The sequence below is a fragment of the Homo sapiens genome, chromosome 17, assembly GCF_000001405.40.
Source record: "Homo sapiens chromosome 17, GRCh38.p14 Primary Assembly".
NCBI classification, from domain to species: domain Eukaryota; kingdom Metazoa; phylum Chordata; class Mammalia; order Primates; family Hominidae; genus Homo; species Homo sapiens.
Window position 1 is genome coordinate 6435275 of NC_000017.11, and position 20400 is coordinate 6455674.

Sequence of the window (20400 nt, forward strand, 5' to 3'; positions counted from 1 at the left end):
GCCGGGCCTGTGGTCCACAGGCAGCCTCGCCTCCTATCCCATCCACCTTTGCTTCCAGTGATTCTGGGCCCCTGCCCAGGGTTGTGCTAGATTTGGCTTTTTGTTCCACCCCAAGAAGGAAAAAGGTCCGCTGAGCTTTCTTAAAGAAGACAGGGGACCAGGCGCGGTGACTCACGCCTGTAATCCCAGCACTTTGGGAGGCCGAGGCGGGCAGATCACAAGGTCAAGAGATCGAGACCATCCTGGCTAATATGGTGAAACCCCATCTCTACTAAAAATACAAAAATTAGCCGGGGGTGGTGGCGGGCGCCTGTAGTTCCAGCTACTCGGGAGGCTGAAGCAGGAGAATCGCTTGAACCCGGGAGGCGGAGGTTGCAGTGAGCCAAGATAGCGCCACTGCACTCCAGCCTGGCGATGTGGAGAGAGGCCTGGAGGCCACTGAAGGGGAAAAGGAGGGGAGGCATGGGCTGGGCCCAGACTCTAAGTCCCCGAGGACCCCAGGCCAGCCGGGGTGACAGCTGCCCTTTGCCATCCAGCCACCTTTCTGCTTTCCCTGTTCCCCCTCCCCTCCCCAGAATCTGCCTTCAGGAGGCCCTGCGATGGTGGCCCAAGGCAAGAGGGGACAGGTTTCTGGCTTGGGAGAGAAGGAAGACGGAGAACGAAAGGCGGGGTGGGTTTGGGTAAAGTTGAGGCGCCCTCCGCAGCCCCGCTCCTGCCTCCCCTGCAAGGTCTGGCTGGGGGAAGGGTGGGTATCCCCTCCCCTCCCCTCCCCTCCCCTCCCCTTTGGAGGCCCTTAGCCCTGTGCCCTGGGAACCAGGCAGAGTTTATTGAGGGCATCAGGGACGCCCAGAAGGGCTGGGAAACATAAATGCGAAGACCTGGTGTTTGGCACCACCGTGTGGCCAGTTCAAGCTCCTACACCTCCGCACCCTGAGGGCACTGGACTCAGCTCCACGAAACCATTCTCTTCCTGACACCAGGCTCACCGGTTGCAGAGGGAAGGGGTGCAGGACTCTGCTACAGGGAGAGATAAAAACACGGGACTAAGGAGGCTGAAGTAGGTGGATCACCTGAGGTCAGGAGTTTTGTATTTTTAGTAGTCTGTACTAAAAATACAAAAATTACCCAGGCATGGTGGTGCGCACCTGTAATCCCAGCTACTCAGGAGGCTGAGGCAGGAGCCTCGCTTGAACCCGGGAGGCGGAGGTTGCAGTGAGCTGAGATCGTGCCACTGCACTCCAGCCTGAGCAACACAGCGAGACTCTGTCTCAAAAAAACAAAACAAAACAAAAAATGCTAGACTAGGCTGGGTGCAGTGGCTCATGGCTGTAATCCTAGGACTTTGGGAGCCAAGGCAGGTGGATCACCTCAGATCAGGAGTTAGAGACCAGCCTGGCCAACATGATGAATCCCCATCTCTACTAAAATTACAAAACTTAGTCGGATGTGGTGGTGGGCACCTGTAATCCCAGCTACTCAGGAGGTTGAGGCAGGAGAATCGCTTGAATCCAGGAGATGAAGGTTGCTGTGCACCAAGATCATGCTGCTGCACTCCAGCCTGGGGCACAGAGTGAGACTGTGTCAGAAGAAGAAGAAGAAGGAGAAGGAAGAGGAGGAGGAGGAGGAGGAGGGAAGAGGGAAGAGGGAAGAGGGAAGAAGAAGGAAGAAGAAGAAGAAGACTGGACTGAGCCAGATACAGCTAAGTTCAAAGGGCTGATCCTTTCCTATTTACTGACCTTGTTGCCTTGGATGTCTCTCGTTTTCTCTAACTGCATTTTCCCAACTGAAATGAGAAAATTGACCTCTCCTGCTCCTTCTCAGGGGAAGTTGGGAGGGCTGCAGCAGTGAATGGCACCCTGAAATCCGGCACTCATGAAAGTCTTGCTTCCCGTGAGGAGTCATTGGCATAGAGGAGACCAAACCTGGGCCAACTGGTCAGGCCCAGGGAATCCTGGCCAGATCCCCAAGGGTCCAGTCTCCATCCCTGGAAGGCAGAAGGCTGCTGAAAACCTTCCCCTTCTCTCTTCCATCCTTTCTCCAGCCACACGGCAACCTAGAGAGGTCTGCATGCATAGGTAAAATGGATACTTAGTAAAACTAATACAGGAATTATTAAGAAATAATTTTTAGGCAGATAGTAAGGGTAAAGGTTCTTGGTGGAAATTTTCCTGCAATAAAAAACAAGCCCCCAAACCATCTCTTTTCTAACAGAAAAGGCTGCTTAAAGGGCCAGGCTGGCAAACCTTGACATGCAAATGCTGGCCATTAGAAACTGGGTTCACTCATATGGAGATTCCTGCTGTCTTTTCCCTGTCACCAGGTGTACCGAGTGTCGTGGCCACCTCCAGATAACACCTTGTGTTCAGAACATCATAGCGACCCACATTTGCATATTAAAGGACTAAGGTGGGAAGGCCAGGTGTTTTGCGGGGTTTGTAAATGACACACCTGGTCAAACCAATCCCCTGGGCCCTATGGAAATCAGACACCACCTCCTCAGCCTCCTCATATAAGCAGCTACTTCCCACCACCCTCACCCTAAACAGGGGGTTTTCTCTTTGTTCAAATCCCCCCCCTCTGTCTCTGTATGGGGGGGCTATTCTCTTCTTCCTTCCTTCTTTCTTGCCTATTAAACTTTTCACTCCTTAAAACTACTCCACGTATGTTCGTGTTGTTAATCCTATTGGAGCAAGACCAAGAACCCTGGAGTTCCTCCAGTCATCAGAGCCGTATCAAAACTACAAAGGAAAATAAAAGTATTTATCATAAAAGTCTAAGGAGACAGGAAGAACACACTTGTCACTTGCGGGTGGCAAGTGTCTGCTTCTGGGATGCTGGCAGTGCTCACCCTTGACCTAGGTGATGGTTACATGGGTGTTGGCTTTATAAGTACAGTAAGTCCTCACTTAATGTCCTTTTAGGTTCTTGGAAACTGCAGTCTGAAATGAAAGGACATACATCAGGTCCTCAAATAACATCGTTTCAATCAATGTCATCATTTCATTATAATGTTGATGAGAAAAAAAGGTGGTTTCCTTATATGTCATTTCATTTAAAGTCAGTCTTCTTTTTTTTTTTTTTTTTCTGAGATGGAACTTTGCTCTTGTCACCCAGGCTGGAGTGCAATGGCGCGATCTTGACTCACTGCAACCTCCACCTCCTGGGTTCAAGTGATTCTCCTGCCTCAGCCTCCCAAGTAGCTGGGATTACAGGTGCCTGCCACTTCACCCAGCTATTTTTTTTTTTTTTTTTTTTTTTTTTTTTAGTGGATACGGAGTTTCATCACATTGGCCACTGGCCAGGCTGGTCTCAAACTCCTGACCTCAGGTGATCCACCCACCTTGGCCTCCCAAAGTGCTGGGATTACAGGCGTGAGCCACCACGCCCGGCCTAAAGTCAGTTTTCAAACACCTATTGACAGCATTAAGTAAGGACTCACTGTATTCATGACACTAGATTTTATGTCTTAGGCAGTTTTCTATCGGTGATATAATTCACAGTGAAAAGGATCCAATCATGTCTCTTCTCACACTTCTTAAAACTCTCCCACTGTTTCTGTTGTTTCCCTTTGTAGAGGGTCGAAGGGCACACACACATTGCAGAGATGTTTAAACAGTAGAACTGATAGATGTAGCCTGTAGCTGATTGGGGGATGTGGGGGCGAGAAGAAAAGGGGATGTTGAAGCCGATGCCAGGGGGGTTGGTTTCCCTGCTGAGAAGAATGAGGATTCACTCCTGGTCTGTGCCTGGAGTTGTGCCACAGGCTACAGACTGATGCCCCAGAAACCCTTTGCCCCCTGTCTTAGTTCATTTTCTGTGATTATAACTGAACACCACAGAATGCATAATTTATTTTTTTAAAAAAGACATTTATTTAGCTCATAGTTCTGGATGCTGGGAAATCCAAGAGCATGGTGCTGGCATCTGGTGAGGGCCTTCTTGCTGCATCATAACGTGGTGGAAGGCATCACATGGTGAGAGGACAAGAGCACGCACATCAGCTCAGGTCTCCATTCCTCTTCTTGTAAAGCCTCCAATCCTATCACAGGGTCCTACCCTGATAATATTATCTAATCCTAATGACCCTCCAAAGGTCCCACCCATAAATATCATCAACATACGAATTTGAGGATTCGGTTTCCAACAGATGAAATTTGGGGGACACATTAAAACCATAGCTGCTCCCAAACCAGTCTCCTCATGGACTTTATTAAAATGCCAATCTAATAACCTACTGCCCTCTTCAAATTCAGCAAAGAGTTGCCACCACCTTCAGGACAAATTTTAAGCTCCTTCTCTGGCCTACAGACCCTGTCTCTTGCCACCCCATCCCCTACCCTCAGCCCCTCATCTCAGCCCCACCCTTTTTGTCTAGGCTTTCCCCAGTCCTAACGCTTGGCAATGCTCCAGACTCCCAACCACTGGCCCACTAGCTCCTCACTTCAAACACCACACATTCAGGGAAGACTACCCTGACCTCCAGCTCCTGTCAATCTCCCCATGCCCCTTATACCCTGTCACTTCTCCCTAGCACTGCACATTCATGCTATTTTGCCCCATTGTAATTGTTTACAATGATGTGTTTAATGTCTATGTCTTCCATCAGATTGACAGTTTCAGGAGGTCAAGGAAACTAGTGGAATGTTTGCTCTTGGACAAAGAGCCCCTGGAGAGCAGGGCTGGAGCTCCTCGTTTGTCCCCCTCCCCAACGGAGGCAAGGGTGATGCTGGATTCCCTCCCCCTCCAAAAGCCTCTGCTAGGAAAAAGTGACTGGTTTTTCCTCCTTACCAAGAACAGAAGCCAATGTACCGACCTCTGGACTAGGAGCCTCCTTCCCCTGAGTACAGCCTCCTTCCCTCCCTCCAGCCACCACTCCACGCAAGGCAAAAGGGAAAGGCTTCCCATTCATAAGAAAATGTTTCTTCCCCCTTTACTTGTTGCCATGGAGACTGTTCTTCATTAACCTGGCCTGCCAGTTACCATTCTGAGTGAGGGAAGATGGTGGAAAGCTCCAAGCAGGGAGGGCCTCTTTATGCATGCATGCATTCATTGTTTCACCCCTGATCTTAACAAAGTTGTGTAATCTAAGGGTAAGAATTCAGGCTTTGAAGTCAGTCACTGGATTTAAGCTCCAGTTCTGACATCCCATACAATCTTGGACCAGATATTTCACCTGTCTGCATCTCACTTTTGTCATCTGTAATGGAAATAAAAAACGTACCTACTTCATAGAATTGCTTGAGGATTAAAAAAGAATAAAGAAAGTAAATGCCCTTAGCAGAGAGTCTGACACATGGTGAGGGCTCAAAAAATATAAGCTATTATTACGGATGCCTGTGACATGACAGGCACTGGGGAGGCTATTGTGATAAGACACTCCGGTTTGAGAGACTTGGCTTGTTTCTAAATGTTTCACCTTCATGGAGTCTTTCCCACACTTTCATCTTAGTTTTCATAGAAACAACAACTTTTTCTTTTCCCCCTTGGATTTCACTGGTAAAAGACATCAGTTAAATTCCTTAATTACAGTAACAAATGCAACTGTTGTAAACAGGTTTGAAAACAAGCATTTCTGACTCTTGATAAACAACTTCACTGTGAACAAAATGGACAGGCAAACTAGAGCAATATTTTGCAAACCACAACTCATACTCCATTAGTGACTCGTAGAATGAATATAGTGGGTTGTAACCATCAAGGTTTTTTTAAATGAAATAAAAAATAAAATCTCAGGTCATATCACACATAGTCAAGTATTGTTTCATGAAACTTTTGTTTCAGTTCACGTGTGTGTGTGCTGGGTCTCTTACAGTGAATGCTGGTTCCTTAAGCGTGGTGTTCCCTGAGCCAAGAAGATCACACACACACACACACACACACACACACACACACACACACACACACACATTCGTTGCCTGGTTAACTCATTCTCTAGGTCTCAGCTTTCAATAACATAAGTTTTGCATAGTTCTTTGATTAACTGATTATTGGTTATTTGATCCTTTCATGTCTATGTCTCCCCACACACTAGATTTGAGCTCCATGACAGTAAGGAATGTATCTGTTTTGTTGACCTTTGTGGCCCATTTTTTAGCACAGTGCTTAATGGATCACAGGCAAGAGGGAATATGGGGGAGGAGGAGGATTGAGGAGACCAGGGTGACTTCAGCTAGGGTGTGTTTATCTAAGATGCCTGCAGCATTCAAGAGGAGATGAGACCCAGGAGGTAGTTGGCTATACATGTCAGATGAGAGGCTCAAGCTGGGGGTGGAGGTGTTAGGGGCTGAGGAAGGCAGTGTGGTGTGGTGGTTAGGCACAGGGACCCTAGCCCTAGACTGATGAAGTTTGAACCCTTGGCCCTGGTGTAGACTAACTGAGTGAAATTTGGGCCCTACCAAATTCTGTATTCTCAGCTTCCTCATCAAGTGTAGGTACAATGAAGATGTCAGTCCGTTTTCTGTTGTTATATCTGAATACCACAGACTGCATAATTTATAAAGAAAAGACACTTAGCTCATGGTCTGGAGGATGGGAAGTTCAAGAGCATAGCACTGGCATCTGGTTGGCATCTGGTAAGGGCCTTCTTGCTGTGTTGTAACATGGCAGAAGGCATCGCATGGTGAGAGGGCAAAAGCGTGCCTGTCAGCTCGGGTCTCTCTTCCCCTTCTTTTAAAGCCACCAGTACCATCATGGGGGCCCCATCTGTTTGATCTTATCTAATGCTAATTACCTCCCAAAGGCCTCACCTCATCAACATACTGGACGTTGGGAATGGTAGGTGCAAGGAAGGAATAGGAGAGATTTGTTAAAAGACACAAAGTTACAGCTAAATAGGAGTAATAAGCTTAGTATTCTATAGCACTGTGGAATGACTAGAGTGAACAATAATATATAGTTTCGAATAACTAGAAGGAAGATATTGACTCTTACCAACACAGAAAAACGATAATGTTTGAGATGATGAATATGCCAATTACCCAGATCTGATCACTCTACATTATATGTATCAAAACATCACTATGTGCCCCATAAATGTTTAATTATTACTTGTCAATTTTAAAAAAAATTTTAAAGAAAATTACAAAGTAGCTCATACTTAGAAAATAATATATGTACAGGTATGTGTATACACACGCATTTATAAAGTGATACGTATAAAATTACTTACATATATGGTTTAAAGAATAATAAAGACTAGGCAAGGTGGCTCACGCTTGTAATCCCAGCACTCTGGGAGGTCAAGGCAGGAGGACTGCTTGAGCCCAGGAGGTTGAGACTGCAGTGAGCTATGATTGTACCACTGCACCTCAGCCTGGACAACAGAGCAAGATCCTGTCTAAAAGAAAAAAAATAAAAAAGAAGAAAGTAAACATCCATGTGGCCACCACCCAGCCTACAAAATGGAACATTATCTTTGAAGTCCTTTGAGCCCTTTCCTCATTACATCCTCTTCTCCTGCCACCCTTCCAAAAACGACGACTTATTTTATTTTGGTGTTTCAATTCCTTTGCTTTCCATAATAGCTTTGTCCACAAATGTATGTGCATATTCCTAAACCATATTGTTGAGCTTTTTTGCGTTTGAATTTATACAGTGTCATACTTTATGTTTGTCTGCATATTGCTTTTTTTTAATCTAACATATTTCTGAGATTGACTTAAGTTACACCATCTGGCTACAATTTGCTTATTTTTCAGTGCTGTATAATATTCTATAATTTGAATAAATAACAATTTATATGTCTTAAAAAATGCCACCGATAGCCAGGAACGGTGGCTCACGTCTGTAATCCCAGCAGTTTGGGAGGCTGAGGCGGGTGGATTGCCTAAGGTCAGGAGTTCGAGACCAGCCTGGCCAACATAGTGAAACCCCATCTCTACTAAAAATACAAAAAATTAGCTAGGCGTGGTGGCAGGCACCTGTAATCCCAGCTACTAGGGAGGCTGAGGCAGGAGAATCGCTTGAACCTGGGAGGCGGAGGTTGCAGTGAGCCGAGATCATGCCATTGCACTCCAGCCTGGGCAACAAGAGTGAAATTCCGTCTCAAAAACAAACAAAAAATGCCACCGATATATGAATTTGGGCATTACATTTCCAACATGTGAAATTTGAGGGACACATTCAAACCATAGCAGAGGATCAAGTAAGTTAATAAACTGCAACACCGGTACCTGTGCATACTAAGTGCCATATACACGTTAATCATTATCATCATCCTTTCCTTGGAAATCACTGAGGCCAAAGGAGTGGGTGAGACCACCCAGAAACGGAGAGGGCTGAAGACAGAGTCTCAAGAAGCCATCATCTCAGGCTCTTGTGCGGAGAAGTAACAAAGAAACCAGCCGGGGGAGTGGGCAGCACTGCTCTGAGGTCACCGAAAGGAGAAAGATGAGCTGGAGAGAGCTTTATAATGGCTGCATTTGTTTGGATGCTAAGGAGAAGAGAGGCAGGCATTCCGCTGGAGAGAGGGAGGGATGCGTGGGGCAAGGCGGGGGCGGGGAGCCGGTGTAGACGGGTGGAGGGCAGACCGGTACTCTGGTCTATCCCCGCTTCCGGGACGCGTTTTCTAGGGAGGGCGGAGCGTGGATGGCGAGTATGGGGAACTCAGAGAGGGACAGTGTCTTGTCACAGGAAGGGAGGGTCAGGAGGGAAATTTGAAAGAAAACGTCTCTGGGAACCCAGGGCTCTGCACTGCCAGTCCCTGGCTCCTTCTGACAAAACCACTGAGCAAGAAGGAAAAGCCAGACCCCTTGGCAGGATGAGAGGGGTCTCTGCCCGCTGCCGGGCCTGGGGCCTGGGGCCTGAGCCAGGAGGCCTAGGTCCCAGGACCTCCGCCTCCACCCCATGGGTCAGAGCAGCCTGAACCCTGTGCGCGCTCCAGGGAGGGGACCCGGTGTGCGATGCGCGGGGGCTGGGCTAGCAAGGGCAGTGGCGCGAGCGGGACGCAGGATACAAAGCCCGGAGCCACGAGGCTGGCGGCGGGGCGGGGGCCGGAGCGATGAATGGGCACGGCCGGGCCAATCCAAGCGCAGCATTTGCAGCCGCGAGAGAGGGAGCCAATCGGATCCCCGGGGCGGTGGCGGTGGCGGGGGCGGGGACGGAACCAATCAGCTGTGAGGACGGGGCCGGGGGCGGAGCCGCGCAGAGTTTCAAATCGGCTGCGGTGGGCGAGGAGCAGCTGTGCTGCGGCTGTGCTCGGCCTTAGTGGTGTCGGGTGAGTGCGGGCTGGGCACAAGTTTCGCCCTTGTTGCCCAGGCTGGAGTGCAATGGCGCGATCTGGACTCAAAACAATTTTTTTGTTCGGAGGGGAGGGCATCAGGTTCTGTTCACAGGGGAGGGCATCAGGTTCGGACACGCACGGCCTGTGGGGTCGTCTGGGTACCACAAGAAGTCGGATCGAAATCGGGGCGTCTGGTGGGAAGGCCGGGGTCTGGGCGGGTGCGCGTTTGGTCTGGGCGAGCTGGTGAAGAAGATGGTGATCGTGTCCTGGGCCCAGCGCTGAAGCTCGGCTACGGCGTGTCTTGACCCTGCCTCCCCTCCTCGCCTGAGCCAGAGAGAGGAAGGAGGTTGGGATGAAAAGACAGCTGTTTTGGAAACTTGAAGGGCGGGACATCAGAAATGCTGCTGACCCGAGGCCCCTCTTCCAGGAAGCATCCTCCTTCCTGCACCCACACTTACCAACTCGCCCGCCCCCGCCACCCCGCTGCATCCCGTCTCTTCCCCTGTGTCCAGGGTCTCTGTGGGGCCTGGGAATGGGTATGGGGAATGCCTTGCTGATCTGCCTTTCGCCCTCCTCCCCAGGGTCTAGTGGACAGAGAAGACTCTTGGCCAGGCAGATGGCTTCTCGGTGGCAGAACATGGGGACCTCCGTGCGCCGGAGATCTCTCCAGCACCAGGAGCAGCTGGAGGACAGCAAGGAGCTGCAGCCTGTGGTCAGCCATCAGGAGACCTCTGTAGGGGCCCTGGGGTCCCTGTGCAGACAGTTCCAAAGGAGGCTGCCCCTGAGAGCCGTCAACCTCAACCTCCGCGCAGGGCCCTCCTGGAAACGCCTGGAAACCCCAGAGCCAGGTCAGCAGGGCCTCCAGGCTGCAGCTCGCTCAGCTAAGAGTGCTTTGGGTGCCGTGTCCCAGGTAATACTGACAACACTAATCATCTTTTTTATGGAGTGTTTCCTTGGTGCCAGGCAGTTCCTGCCCTCAAAGAGCCTCAAGAATATAGACTTCATGAAAACAGGGACGTTGGTTAGTTCACTGCTGTTTCCCCACCACCCCAGATAGTTCCTGGCACATATAGGTGCTCAACAAATAGTTGAATGAGTGAATGAAAGCATGTCTTGGAGGAAACAGATGCTCACAATACCAGGTGATAAGAGCTGTACGTGATAGGAAATTGCAAAGCAAGTGACCAATAGTGAGGCTCACCAAATGCAAGCTTAGTCGGTGAAGGCTTCCCAGAGGAGGTGATTCCAGAGTTCACCCAGGGAAGCAAAGGTCAAGGGGTATTTAGGGTAGGGGAAATAGTGCAAGTCCAGGCCTAGAGCTGAGGGAAAGCAAGGTGTACTGCCCACTCAGCTGTGTATCCCTGAGGAGAGCCAGAATTGTAGTCTGGGTATGAACAGATGACAGAGAGCAAGGTAGAGCAGGGGGAAAGGATATGAAGGAGCTTAGAACTCTCCCAGGAATGATCAGGAGTCCGGAAGATTCTAAACAGTGGAAAGTCTGGTCTAATTAGCATATTAGAATTTGCCCTTTAGCTACATGATGGAGAAGGGAATAGAGGCAGAGATGCTCCTGATGGAGACTAAGGGTTTGGACTTGCAGGGGATAAACTTCAGGAGCTGCCGAGAAGGTCCAGTTAGAGGGGATTTGCTGTCAAATGAGAGCTGCTGTCAGGAAGACGTCCTTATATTGGATGTAAGTGTCTGTGGACCCTTCAAGGGATGCATCTTTAAACCCAGAGCTGGAGGTGTAGACGTGTCACTTAGAAAGGACAGAAGCCATTAGGATGAACAGACCTCCAGGGAGAGGATTGGGGGCTGCAGAGGCTTCTCCTCGGTGTCTCATTGGGAATTCTGAAGATGAAAGAATTCTCCAGAAAGTGGGTGGCTCTTTCTGGACCCTCTGCAGAGAGCTCTCTGAGCCAAATGTTAGTCCTTATTTGGAAGCACTTTTTGATTGTTTTCACCACCCTCAGGGATCAGAGAAATGAAATGAATTTGTCCAAGGTCACATAACTCATCAAATTTAACTTGGGCTTCGCTCCAAACACTGGGCTCTGGCTTGTCAAGGCAAAGACAGTCTAGCTGATGAAGAAGAGCCTTCACGGCTGTCACCCGGCTGGTGTGAAAGGCCCAAGAGTTGGGGCTTGGTCCTATGGGCAACAAGAAGCCACAGAAGAGTTTTGAGCAGTTGAGTGTCACGGTCAGAACTGCCCTTTAGAAGGATCACTATGGACCACTGTGGAGGGTGGATAGAGTGAGTGAGACCCGAGGCAAGAAGACAGGTGCTCTCTTGGTGTACAGGGGGTGCTGGGCGGGGTGGCCTGTTCTTTTGGGGCCCTCTCCTTCAGTCCTGGGGTCACCGTCTGTCTGGAAAGAGAGTTTGGACTTAGACAAACAGGCTCCAGGCACCAGGGGGGTCCTCCTGCGGCTGACTGCTGCTGTCATATCCAAGAGCTCTGAGCTGGGTCCCAGCCGTGGACTCATTCCATGAGGAGTCATTCACATCCTTCACCCTGGAGACTAACAATAGCCTGTATTTACAGGACACTTGCTGAGTGTAGGGGTTGCTTGTATGGTCTGGAGACCAAGGTAGCTCACCCTTGGTTTTTTTTTTTGTTGTTGTTTGTTTGTTTTCGAGACAGGGTCTCACTCTGTCGCCCAGGCTGGAGTGCCATGGTGCGATCTCGGCTCACTGCAACCTCCGCCTCCCGGGTTCAAGCGACTCTCATGCCTCAGCCACCCAAGTAGCTGGGATTACAGGCACCCGCCACCGCGCCTGGCTAATTTTTTTTTGCATTTTTAGTAGAAATGGGGTTACACCATGTTGGCCAGGCTGGTCTCAAAATCCTGACCTCAGGTGATCTGCCTGCCTCGGCCTCCCAAAGTACTGGGATTATAGGCGTGAGCCACCGCGCCCGGCCTAACTTTTGGTTTTGTCTGTGCTAACCTTTCCATTTGCCTGTTCCAGAGAATCCAGGAGTCCTGCCAAAGTGGCACCAAGTGGCTGGTGGAGACCCAGGTGAAGGCCAGGAGGCGGAAGAGAGGAGCACAGAAGGGCAGTGGATCCCCAACTCACAGCCTGAGCCAGAAGAGCACCCGGCTGTCTGGAGCCGCCCCTGCCCACTCAGCCGCAGACCCCTGGGAGAAGGAGCATCACCGCCTCTCTGTCCGGATGGGCTCACATGCCCACCCATTACGGCGATCAAGGCGGGAGGCTGCCTTCCGGAGCCCCTACTCCTCAACAGAGCCCCTCTGCTCTCCCAGGCAAGTGGGATAGTGCTTCACCCCGGGGCTGGTGGCCTTTTAACCTGGGCACAATCCCTGCTGTCTGACCTCCCAGACACCAACTGGGCCCTAGGGGTTTCTTGGCACCCCCTGTGGCTACCTGGAGCCAGGGGCACCCTGAGCAGCGTCATATTGTATTATTATTATTCTTACTGTTAAATGTGTGTCCTGCTTTAGCAGATATCCAGTGCATGTATTTGCTCATCAGAAAATGAGAAAACAGGCTGGGCGCAGTGGCTCACACCTGTAATCCCAGCACTTTGGGAGGCCGAGGCGGGTGGATCACCTGAGGTCAGGAGTTGGAGACCAGTCTGGCCAACATGGTGAAACCTCATCTCTACTAAAAATACAAAATTGGCTGGGCGTGGTGGTGCACGCCTGTAATCCCAGCTCCTTGGGAGGTTGAGGCAGGAGAATCGCTTGAACTCGGGAGGTGGAAGTTGCATTGAGCTGAGATCGCGCCACTGCACTCCAGCCAGGGCCACAGAGCCAGACCCTGTCTCAAAAAAAAAAAAAAAAAAAAGAGAGAGAGAAAGAAAACAAAACAACAACTAGATTCCTAAGGATTGTATTTCAACTTTCCGGCTGAGTTCTAGGGGGAAATGGAGTGTGTTAGTTAAGGCTGCATAGTAGCTTAGGGCTGTTGAATTTTTCCCCAGATTTCTTTGAGGGCTAGCATCTTTCTTTAGCCTAATAGGAACTTTGAGCTGTAATTAAGGCAGGCTCTGTTTGTCCCATTTGACAGGTAAGGAAACGGAGGTCCGGAGGGGTTTGGTGATTAGCCTGAGGGTCATCCTGTAAGAAATAGAGGAGTAAAGGCTGGGGTCCAGATCATCTGGATGTTCTGCCCCACCGATCAAGCTGGCCTGCCTTGCAGAATCTTCTAGTTCTCAGACAGGCCCAGAAAGTGGCCTGGCTCAGGGCAGGGGGTGAAGCTCATCCCAATCGGCAGTCCCTGGCAGTTTCCTGGTCCCATCTCGGAGCTCTCAGGGAAGGCTGCCTAGCCGCTGCACCTGTGTTGTGGCAGGTAGTCACCAGGATGCATGTAAGTGACCAGGTGGCTCTTTGCAAACCTGTAAGCTAAAATAAGGCTTGTGTACACTTCAAAAATACTCTCCACATCTGTATTCTGACCCGGTTCCGCGTCCAGAGCCAGCAGGGGACCTGAGAAAATCCTTTAGGACCTTAGTTTCTCTGTCCGTAAAGGAAGAGCTGAGTTTAGTTCTGACACAATCACACTCACCCAAGCCTCCTAGTGAGCCCAGAAGCAAGTTTTGAAGCCACCTGGAGAGCTGAGGCTCAGTTTCCAAGTGGGGAAGCTGCAAAATCACTTGCCCGTGACCTTGGCCTCGTGGATCTTGATCTTCTCTCTGTTTGTCGCTCTGAGGTCACCTCCTGGAGTGAGGGTCTGGAGTGAAGCCCAGCCCGCCAGGGTCATCTGGGCCCACAGACCACACCCCGGTACCGGGTTGCAAGGGTCTCCTGCCGGGAGTTTCCAACTAGTCACTGGTGTGGCTTTTTCTTTCATGCAGCGAGTCTGACAGTGACCTAGAGCCTGTGGGGGCGGGAATTCAGCATCTCCAGAAGCTGTCCCAAGAGCTAGATGAAGCCATTATGGCGGAAGAGAGGTGAGTTGGCATCCCATGCTTCAAAGTGAAGGGGCCGGGAGGGCCCCTCCAGCCATCTTTGTAGGCAGGCGTTGGTTCTGCTCTGACCTGCTGTGTGACCCTGGCCAGTCTCTGCCCCTCTCTGGGCCTCAGTCTCCCTCATCTCAAACATGAGAAAGGACAAAATCCTGGACTGGGGTGATGGTAAAGGATGTAGCCTGAATGTGTGTGGTCTTCTGGGCCTTGGGACCCCATGTTTGTCCATCACTTGGAACCTCACGTGTGGCTGGTTCCTGAAAAACCTGCCCTTCCTCCAGAACTCTCCGTGGCTCGTCTGTGCCCTGCCTGCCTATGGAATTGGGAAAAGCAACCTGACTGCTATGGAGTTCCTGGTCTGTCTGCTCATGGCCCCATCCTGGGGGCAGGGCCTCGGTTGTGGACCTCCCCTAACTTGGGGCTGTTTCCCCATTCCACTTGTATAATGGCCATGATGGGCTCTAAGGCTGGGCCCTGCCAGCTCTATGTGTTGAGGGGCCATATTCCTACCACATTTCCGGGTCTGATCTTGTGTAGCTCAGGCTGGGAGGGCCCTCTCAGAGCCCACCACACCCAGTGGCATCAATCCCTCCCCTTCTCTCTAGTGGTGACATCGTCTCTCTCATTCATGACTGAGGAAGTGCCTGCAGGTAATGCCCACCTCCCAAGAGTCTTTCTCACTGTCCTTCTCCTCCATCTCATGCATGAGCAAGTTAAAGAAAAAGCCCACAGAGCTGATGGGCACAGCAGAGTAGGTAGTACCTACTTGCCGCTTGAAGCCAGAGCTGCTAACCTCACTGACCCCGTCATTAACAGCACGCTGGGGGCCCCAAGTAGCTACAGCCACCTTCCAGCACCCCCCACCCCGCAGTGAGCAGGGAAAGGCATCCCTACTTCTCCTACCTTGAGCACAGTGAAAAAGGCAGCTCTGTCTTGAAGGAAACAAGCCCTGTCTGACCGCCAAGGCTTCATACTCAAGGATGTCTATGCTTCCCCGTGAGCTTCCTGGAAAAAACCCCCGGGAGTCGTCAGTACCCCTGGGCCACTGCTAACAAGCACCTAACAAGGGGCCCAGAGCCCCCTGCTCCAGCCACATCTGGACCCATCAGTGACTGCCTGCCATAGCCTGAGAGTGTCTTGGGGAGACCTTGCAGAGGGGGAGAATTGTTCCTTCTGCTTTCCTAGGGGACTCTTGAGCTTAGAAACTCATCGTACACTTGACCTTGAGCCTTCTATTTGCCTCATCTATAACATGAAGTGCTAGCATCAGATATTTGAGAGCTCTTAGCTCTGTACCCGGGTGCCTGGTTTTTGGGGAGTCATCCGCAGAGTCACTCACCCACTGTGTTTCTGGTGCCAAGGCTCTTGAGGGCCCCACTCTCATCCCTCCTTTCCCTACCAGGGACTCGGAGGAAGGCATAGGAGATATTTCCAGGCTTACGACCCTGGGCTCACGGGTACCTATTTATATGCTCAGTGCAGAGCACTGTGGATGTGCCAGGAGGGGTAGCCCTGTTCAAGAGCAATTTCTGCCCTTTGTAAATTATTTAAGAAACCTGCTTTGTCATTTTATTAGAAAGAAACCAGCGTGTGACTTTCCTAGATAACACTGCTTTCTCATAATAAAGACTATTTGCATTTGACATCTGTTCCCTTTCACCGGCAACCTCCAACCTCCCCCGCCCTCCCACACCACTCTGGGCTATAGATTTGTAATTTGTGGTTTGGGGTCTGGCCCTCATCCACCTCTGCTCCGAGCCAGTCTGCCCCCAATCCCACCCCAGGGAGAACATGTAGAAAGGGAAAGGTTTCTCAACTTAGTTCAGACCAAAACACATTGTAAAGGCAAAGAAGGTTTTTATTTAAGTGACAACATTTGAGAGCTAAAAACCAGCTCACATCAAAATCAAGACCCAGTTGTAAAAATCTTTTAACTCCATAATGCTGTTTTTGTCTTGTTAGAAATCTGATATCTTACATTAGCGTTTCTAACGGATTTTGTACAAGGCAGCCATAAGGAATATAATAAACCTTTTTCACCACAGAACCATCTGTCACAGATAATACTGAAAGTTACACACTTAGGAACAGTCAGACCACAGACAAGGTCAGACTGGCTGCCACCACCAAGTAAACAACTAGAAAAGGACAGCGGGGTCCAAGGGTGGGGGTCCCTGTGCACGAGTCGCCCTCCTCTGGCCTGCCCCCCCTCGGGTCACCTGTTTCTCCTTTGCCCCAAAGAGGGTGGAGTCAAATGCAGATTTTCCTCCCAACTGCCTGTTAGTGTCTCAACAAGGAGAGCAGAGCCCAGGTCAGGCCTCACTGCTTGGACTTAACCCTAACTATGATTTTTACGAAGGTTTCCCCCAAGCCCGGAAGGAAAGGAAGGAGGGAATGTTTCTTTTGGCTGAGCCAAAAGACAATAGGTTTCCAGGGCACTTGGCACCCAAACCCCCCCCCCCCGCCCGCCGATGGGATTCGGTGGGAAAGTTGGTTGTTTAAGGCGGGGTCAGGGCACCCCTCCCGGGGCTGCACCTGGGCTAGGGGGGAGAGTGAGGATGCAGAGGACCCACGTGCCTCATGAAAGACTCCAGGGCACAGGTATGGGTCCCAAAGGGGTAAAAATACAGTTTAAAAACCGTGAGATCCAGCCTCGCCTCTTCTAGACAGCCCACCGCCAGGAATCTCTGGAATACTGGGATTCAAACACATTTGTTTGCTGTAGCCCAGCACCCAGACAAGAGGGCCGTTCATCCCAATGCATGAAAGGAGTCTGCTTTTTTAAAAAAGAAATATTTTATGGAGCCCAAGGGAGCCGTTGAGATCTTTAGGAAAAAACCCATGATGCTGGAAGAGCAGGTCCTGGGCTAAGGATGCACCCTGAACCCCAACAGGGCAAATGATAAAGGAAGGTGGCAGGCAGGCCCTCGGCTACGACAGCCACCGGATCGGGAAGAACAAACATGCCACGCAAGAAACAAGGAGCTTTGGTCAGGCAGGAAGATCTGTTTCCAGCTGCTGGAGAGCAGGCATACCAGAAGCTAGAAGGATTCTCTACAAAACAGCTGGATTGGGGGTCACAGAACTACTCAAGGAGAGGCAGCAGCACCCCCTCCAGAGAACAACACAACTTGGTTCTTTCTCCAACTTAACCGGACAGACAAAACTGAGCAAACCGCTAGTGTAGAAAGAGCATATGCATTACACAGTTGCCGTGAAAGCAGTACTGAAACATACCTTGTCTCGCCACTAAACAGAACCGCAGGTACACACTCACACACGCCAACTACAGCTCCAGTTGTTGCGTTCACAATATCTCACCGTACACCATCAGCATCTTGTGTGTGCATCATCAGCCAAAGCCCCGATCCTCCTACCTGATTGCTGCTTGGAACCAGAGCTGTTTCCAAAAGGAAGGGGTGGTGGCCCTCCTGCTGGGTCCTGTGTCCCAGCTCTGACCCCAGAGCCACAGAACCCTGGTCACACTGACTTCAAATTCCCCAGGGATCCTGGCTCATGAGCTCTCTCTCTCTCTTCCTCTCTCTCTCTCTCTTCCTCTCTCTCTCTCTCTGTCTTCCTTTCTCTCTCTCTCTCTCTCTCTGCCTTCCTGTCTTTCTTTCTCCCTCTCTCTCTCTGCCTTCCTCTCTCTGTCTTCCTTTCTTTCCTCTGTCTTCCTTTCTTTCTCTCTCTCTTTCTCTCTCCCTCTCTCTCTCTCTCTCTCCCTCTCTCTCTTTCTCTCTCCCTCTCCCTCTCTCGCCTAGCCTGGGGTTCTCAGGGAAGAGGGAATGTAACTGGGAGCAAAGTACCCCATACTAATTATTTTATCATTTTAGTGTAACCAGTGCCTTCTGCAAGAAGGAGATGGTAGAGTTTTCAAGAATCAGACTAAGTCTGCCCAAGTTTAAATCAGGATATTTGGGGGAAGGATTAGGGTTGGGGTGGCTATGCCATATGAGCTGGTGCCTTTGGAAAGCCAAGAACTGTGAAATGTTAAAGGGGGGATGGGCACCTGTGAACCGCCAGGAGACAGGACCATAGAGGAGGCTGAGGCTGAGGCTGAGGCTGAGCCTGATCCGCACTCCTCCCCATAGACTCGCCAGCAGCCCTGGGCTTGAGTGCAGGATGCAGCACTGGAAGTAGAGCAGAAGAGCTGGCAGACTGAAGACACATTTCTAGTGGGGAGAGCAGGGATGGGGGTTAGGAGCCCAGACCCCTCCAGCCCCAGGAGGGCACCCAATTTGCCAGGCAATTCACAACGGCGGTGCCAGCCGCCCCCACCAGCAGCGTCACTGGCTGCATGGGAGCCGCGAGAGGTAGACATTGAGCAGAAGCGACACTGAGCTGACACAGGTGCCTGCTGTGTATACAGACGTCTGGGCCCTGGGGCAGCCTGGCTGAAATTGCTGGGACCGGCCTTGATGGCAGCCTATGGGGGCTCAGTGGCCACGTGGGCAGCCCCACACAGCAGGTGTGGGCCTGGGCCAGGGAGTCGGGGTTTTCCAGGATGCAGGAAAGCAGTGCCCAGGCCAAGGTTCAGCAGCAGGAGGGCCTGAGCAGGCTTTAGGGGCCCCAGAAGGGCCAAGTCCTGCCAACCTCAGGGGACTACCCAGGAGGAGGTTATGGGCACAAACTGAGCAGCAGGGGAAAGGGAAGAGAATACAACAGTTGGAGCCAAACTTCCAGGAACCCCTAGAACCCTGGAATCTCAGCTCTATGCCTCTGGGAGCCAAAAAGGATAAAAGGGTCCTGGCAGAGCTGGGGTTATGGGGAGCCCAATCAGTAACCTTTTGGCAGGAGAGGGAGGTGGGTTGTCCCTAGGACACCCAGTTTGAGTGGGTTGTCCCTGGGACACGCAGTGCAAGGCAAACCAGCTGCACCTCTCCGTGGAGTAGGGATCCCTTCCCAGCCCACCCAGAGAGGCTCCTTTAAGAGCCCCTCCTTTCCAGCCCACCCAGACCCCCTCTCCCAGGCTGTGTGAAAGGTGTGGGTCACAGGACACTCGGAGGGACCCTTAGGCCTGAAGAGCCTCAATGGGCCAAACTGCAGGACATCTTGGGAGTCAAAGACTCACACCAATCTCAGCTAGGGGGACCCCTCCAATAACAGAAGGAAGACGGAGCCCAGAGAGGGCAAGCAACCAGCTCAGGGGCTCACAGCCAGCCCAGCTGAGCCAGAGCCCAAGGCTGCAGCCTCCCAAGGGAGGGCATGAGGCAGGGCTCCGGGAAGAGGAAGCCCTGGCCTCCAGGGCCACAGGGAAATGGTGAGGACACTGAGGACAACGGGGGTTGGGGACAATGGACAGCTGCAGGACAGACCGTCAGCACCAGACCCCACCCCCGAGGGCTGTGGACAGAGACGGCGTAACATGAGCCCGGGGATGTGCTCTCACTCCCAGAAAGTGGCCATCTTGCCATAAGAGCGCCAACCCCAAAATGGTGACCCAAACCACAGGAAGGGCGGGCACAAATGCCACTCACACCTCCACAAGACAGCCCAGAGGCTGTGCCTGCCAGCGGCGCTTGGTGCCGAGGCTGGGGCTGCCCCCTTGAGGGCCTGCCTAGCTCGCTGTGAAGCCTGGGGACGCAGGAGGGTGGTCGACTTTGCCCAAACGCTTCAGCCCCGGGCAAGCCTGCCCCCAGGATGACACAAACATGAACCCTGACTTGGGCTTGCGGTCGCAGGCCCGTGGGAGGCAGCAGTGGCTGCACCGAGATCCCCGGACCTCACCCCGTCGCAGCTCAGGGAGCCCCCCGGGCTCGGGCAGGATCCCTCCCCGCTCTGGTCGGACACTGCTGGACAGACACGGGAGGGAAAAAGCAGGAAAACGCCTGTGTCGGGGAGAGGGCAGCCCCCTCCCGTCCCCGCAGGCAGCCTGATTGGGCCCCCCGCTCCCTGCTCTGAGCACAGCCCACCCCTCAGGGCACCGACTCGAACTTGGGGGGCCCACGCGCCCAGCTGAGCGCCGGCAGCGGCCGCTCGTGGTCTTTGTCCGACTCGGGCTGGCTCTGGGCCCGCTCGGGCTTGGGGTTGGCGGCGGGCGGGTCGGGCTGCTGCACTGACATGGTTCTGCGCAGGTGGTTGCGCTTCCGCAGGAACTCTGGCTGCGCGTGCAGCCCGAAGCTGCCCTTGCGCAGGATCATGCGCGAGTTGTTCTTCTTTGGGCGTGAGCGGTGGCTGGCCTCCAGCGCGGCCAGGTGTGCGGCGTAGCCCTCGCTCAGGAACTGCGGAGGGCAGGGGAGGGCAGGGGAGGGC

The 20400-nt window shown here is 51.9% G+C and overlaps 2 protein-coding genes and 1 long non-coding RNA gene across 9 annotated transcripts in view, besides 9 other annotated features; 1 reads left to right on the forward strand and 2 right to left on the reverse strand.

The window, feature by feature from the left end:
• LOC107985017 (uncharacterized) lies at positions 2024-15157 on the reverse strand. Its single transcript, XR_001752776.2, has 3 exons — positions 15052-15157; positions 13749-14060; positions 2024-2063 (listed from the first exon to the last, which is right to left on the reverse strand). It is a non-coding gene; the product is annotated as an uncharacterized LOC107985017 (long non-coding RNA).
• Positions 8491-8640: a silencer, noted in NCBI's record as "silent region_8073". NCBI's record gives its function as "represses an Ori minimal core promoter by ATAC-STARR-seq in GM12878 lymphoblastoid cells {active_cell/tissue: GM12878}" and the evidence as "EXISTENCE:reporter gene assay evidence [ECO:0000049][PMID:35858748]".
• Positions 8491-9139: a biological region, named in NCBI's record as "H3K27ac hESC enhancer GRCh37_chr17:6347155-6347733".
• Positions 8561-9139: an enhancer, noted in NCBI's record as "H3K27ac hESC enhancer chr17:6347155-6347733 (GRCh37/hg19 assembly coordinates)". NCBI's record gives its function as "activates a minimal SCP1, AML or CMV promoter by ChIP-STARR-seq in primed H9 embryonic stem cells {active_cell/tissue: H9 hESC(primed)}" and the evidence as "EXISTENCE:reporter gene assay evidence [ECO:0000049][PMID:30033119]".
• Positions 8871-9120: a silencer, noted in NCBI's record as "silent region_8074". NCBI's record gives its function as "represses an Ori minimal core promoter by ATAC-STARR-seq in GM12878 lymphoblastoid cells {active_cell/tissue: GM12878}" and the evidence as "EXISTENCE:reporter gene assay evidence [ECO:0000049][PMID:35858748]".
• PIMREG (PICALM interacting mitotic regulator) lies at positions 9181-16195 on the forward strand. 6 transcript variants are annotated; one of them, NM_019013.3, is made up of 6 exons: positions 9181-9214; positions 9802-10130; positions 12189-12484; positions 14038-14133; positions 14754-14798; positions 15088-16195. In NM_019013.3, exons 2-5 carry the CDS (start codon positions 9837-9839, stop codon positions 14782-14784), a joined length of 717 nt encoding a protein of 238 aa, NP_061886.2. In that variant the 5' UTR covers positions 9181-9214; positions 9802-9836; the 3' UTR covers positions 14785-14798; positions 15088-16195. The 6 variants fall into 6 exon arrangements, with proteins under 6 accessions (NP_061886.2, NP_001182157.1, XP_047292266.1 ...); NM_001195228.2 differs by lacking the exon at positions 14754-14798; XM_047436310.1 differs by having other exon boundaries at positions 14430-15791.
• Positions 9203-9430: a silencer, noted in NCBI's record as "fragment chr17:6347797-6348024 (GRCh37/hg19 assembly coordinates)". NCBI's record gives its function as "represses an EF-1alpha promoter that drives an FKBP-Casp9 reporter gene in an ReSE screen in K562 erythroleukemia cells {active_cell/tissue: K562}" and the evidence as "EXISTENCE:reporter gene assay evidence [ECO:0000049][PMID:32094911]".
• Positions 12177-12843: an enhancer, noted in NCBI's record as "H3K4me1 hESC enhancer chr17:6350771-6351437 (GRCh37/hg19 assembly coordinates)". NCBI's record gives its function as "activates a minimal SCP1, AML or CMV promoter by ChIP-STARR-seq in naive H9 embryonic stem cells {active_cell/tissue: H9 hESC(naive)}" and the evidence as "EXISTENCE:reporter gene assay evidence [ECO:0000049][PMID:30033119]".
• The window catches only part of PITPNM3 (PITPNM family member 3), a 105293-nt gene continuing 100881 nt past the window's right edge, over positions 15989-20400 (reverse strand). For both annotated transcript variants that reach the window (NM_001165966.2, NM_031220.4), the window contains one exon: positions 15989-20369. In NM_001165966.2, the coding sequence (NP_001159438.1) occupies positions 20064-20369 (306 nt within the window). In that variant the 3' untranslated portion in view covers positions 15989-20063. The remainder of the gene's footprint in view (positions 20370-20400) is intronic.
• Positions 18527-19245: an enhancer, noted in NCBI's record as "H3K27ac-H3K4me1 hESC enhancer chr17:6357121-6357839 (GRCh37/hg19 assembly coordinates)". NCBI's record gives its function as "activates a minimal SCP1, AML or CMV promoter by ChIP-STARR-seq in primed H9 embryonic stem cells {active_cell/tissue: H9 hESC(primed)}" and the evidence as "EXISTENCE:reporter gene assay evidence [ECO:0000049][PMID:30033119]".
• Positions 19815-19944: a silencer, noted in NCBI's record as "silent region_8075". NCBI's record gives its function as "represses an Ori minimal core promoter by ATAC-STARR-seq in GM12878 lymphoblastoid cells {active_cell/tissue: GM12878}" and the evidence as "EXISTENCE:reporter gene assay evidence [ECO:0000049][PMID:35858748]".
• Positions 19965-20094: a silencer, noted in NCBI's record as "silent region_8076". NCBI's record gives its function as "represses an Ori minimal core promoter by ATAC-STARR-seq in GM12878 lymphoblastoid cells {active_cell/tissue: GM12878}" and the evidence as "EXISTENCE:reporter gene assay evidence [ECO:0000049][PMID:35858748]".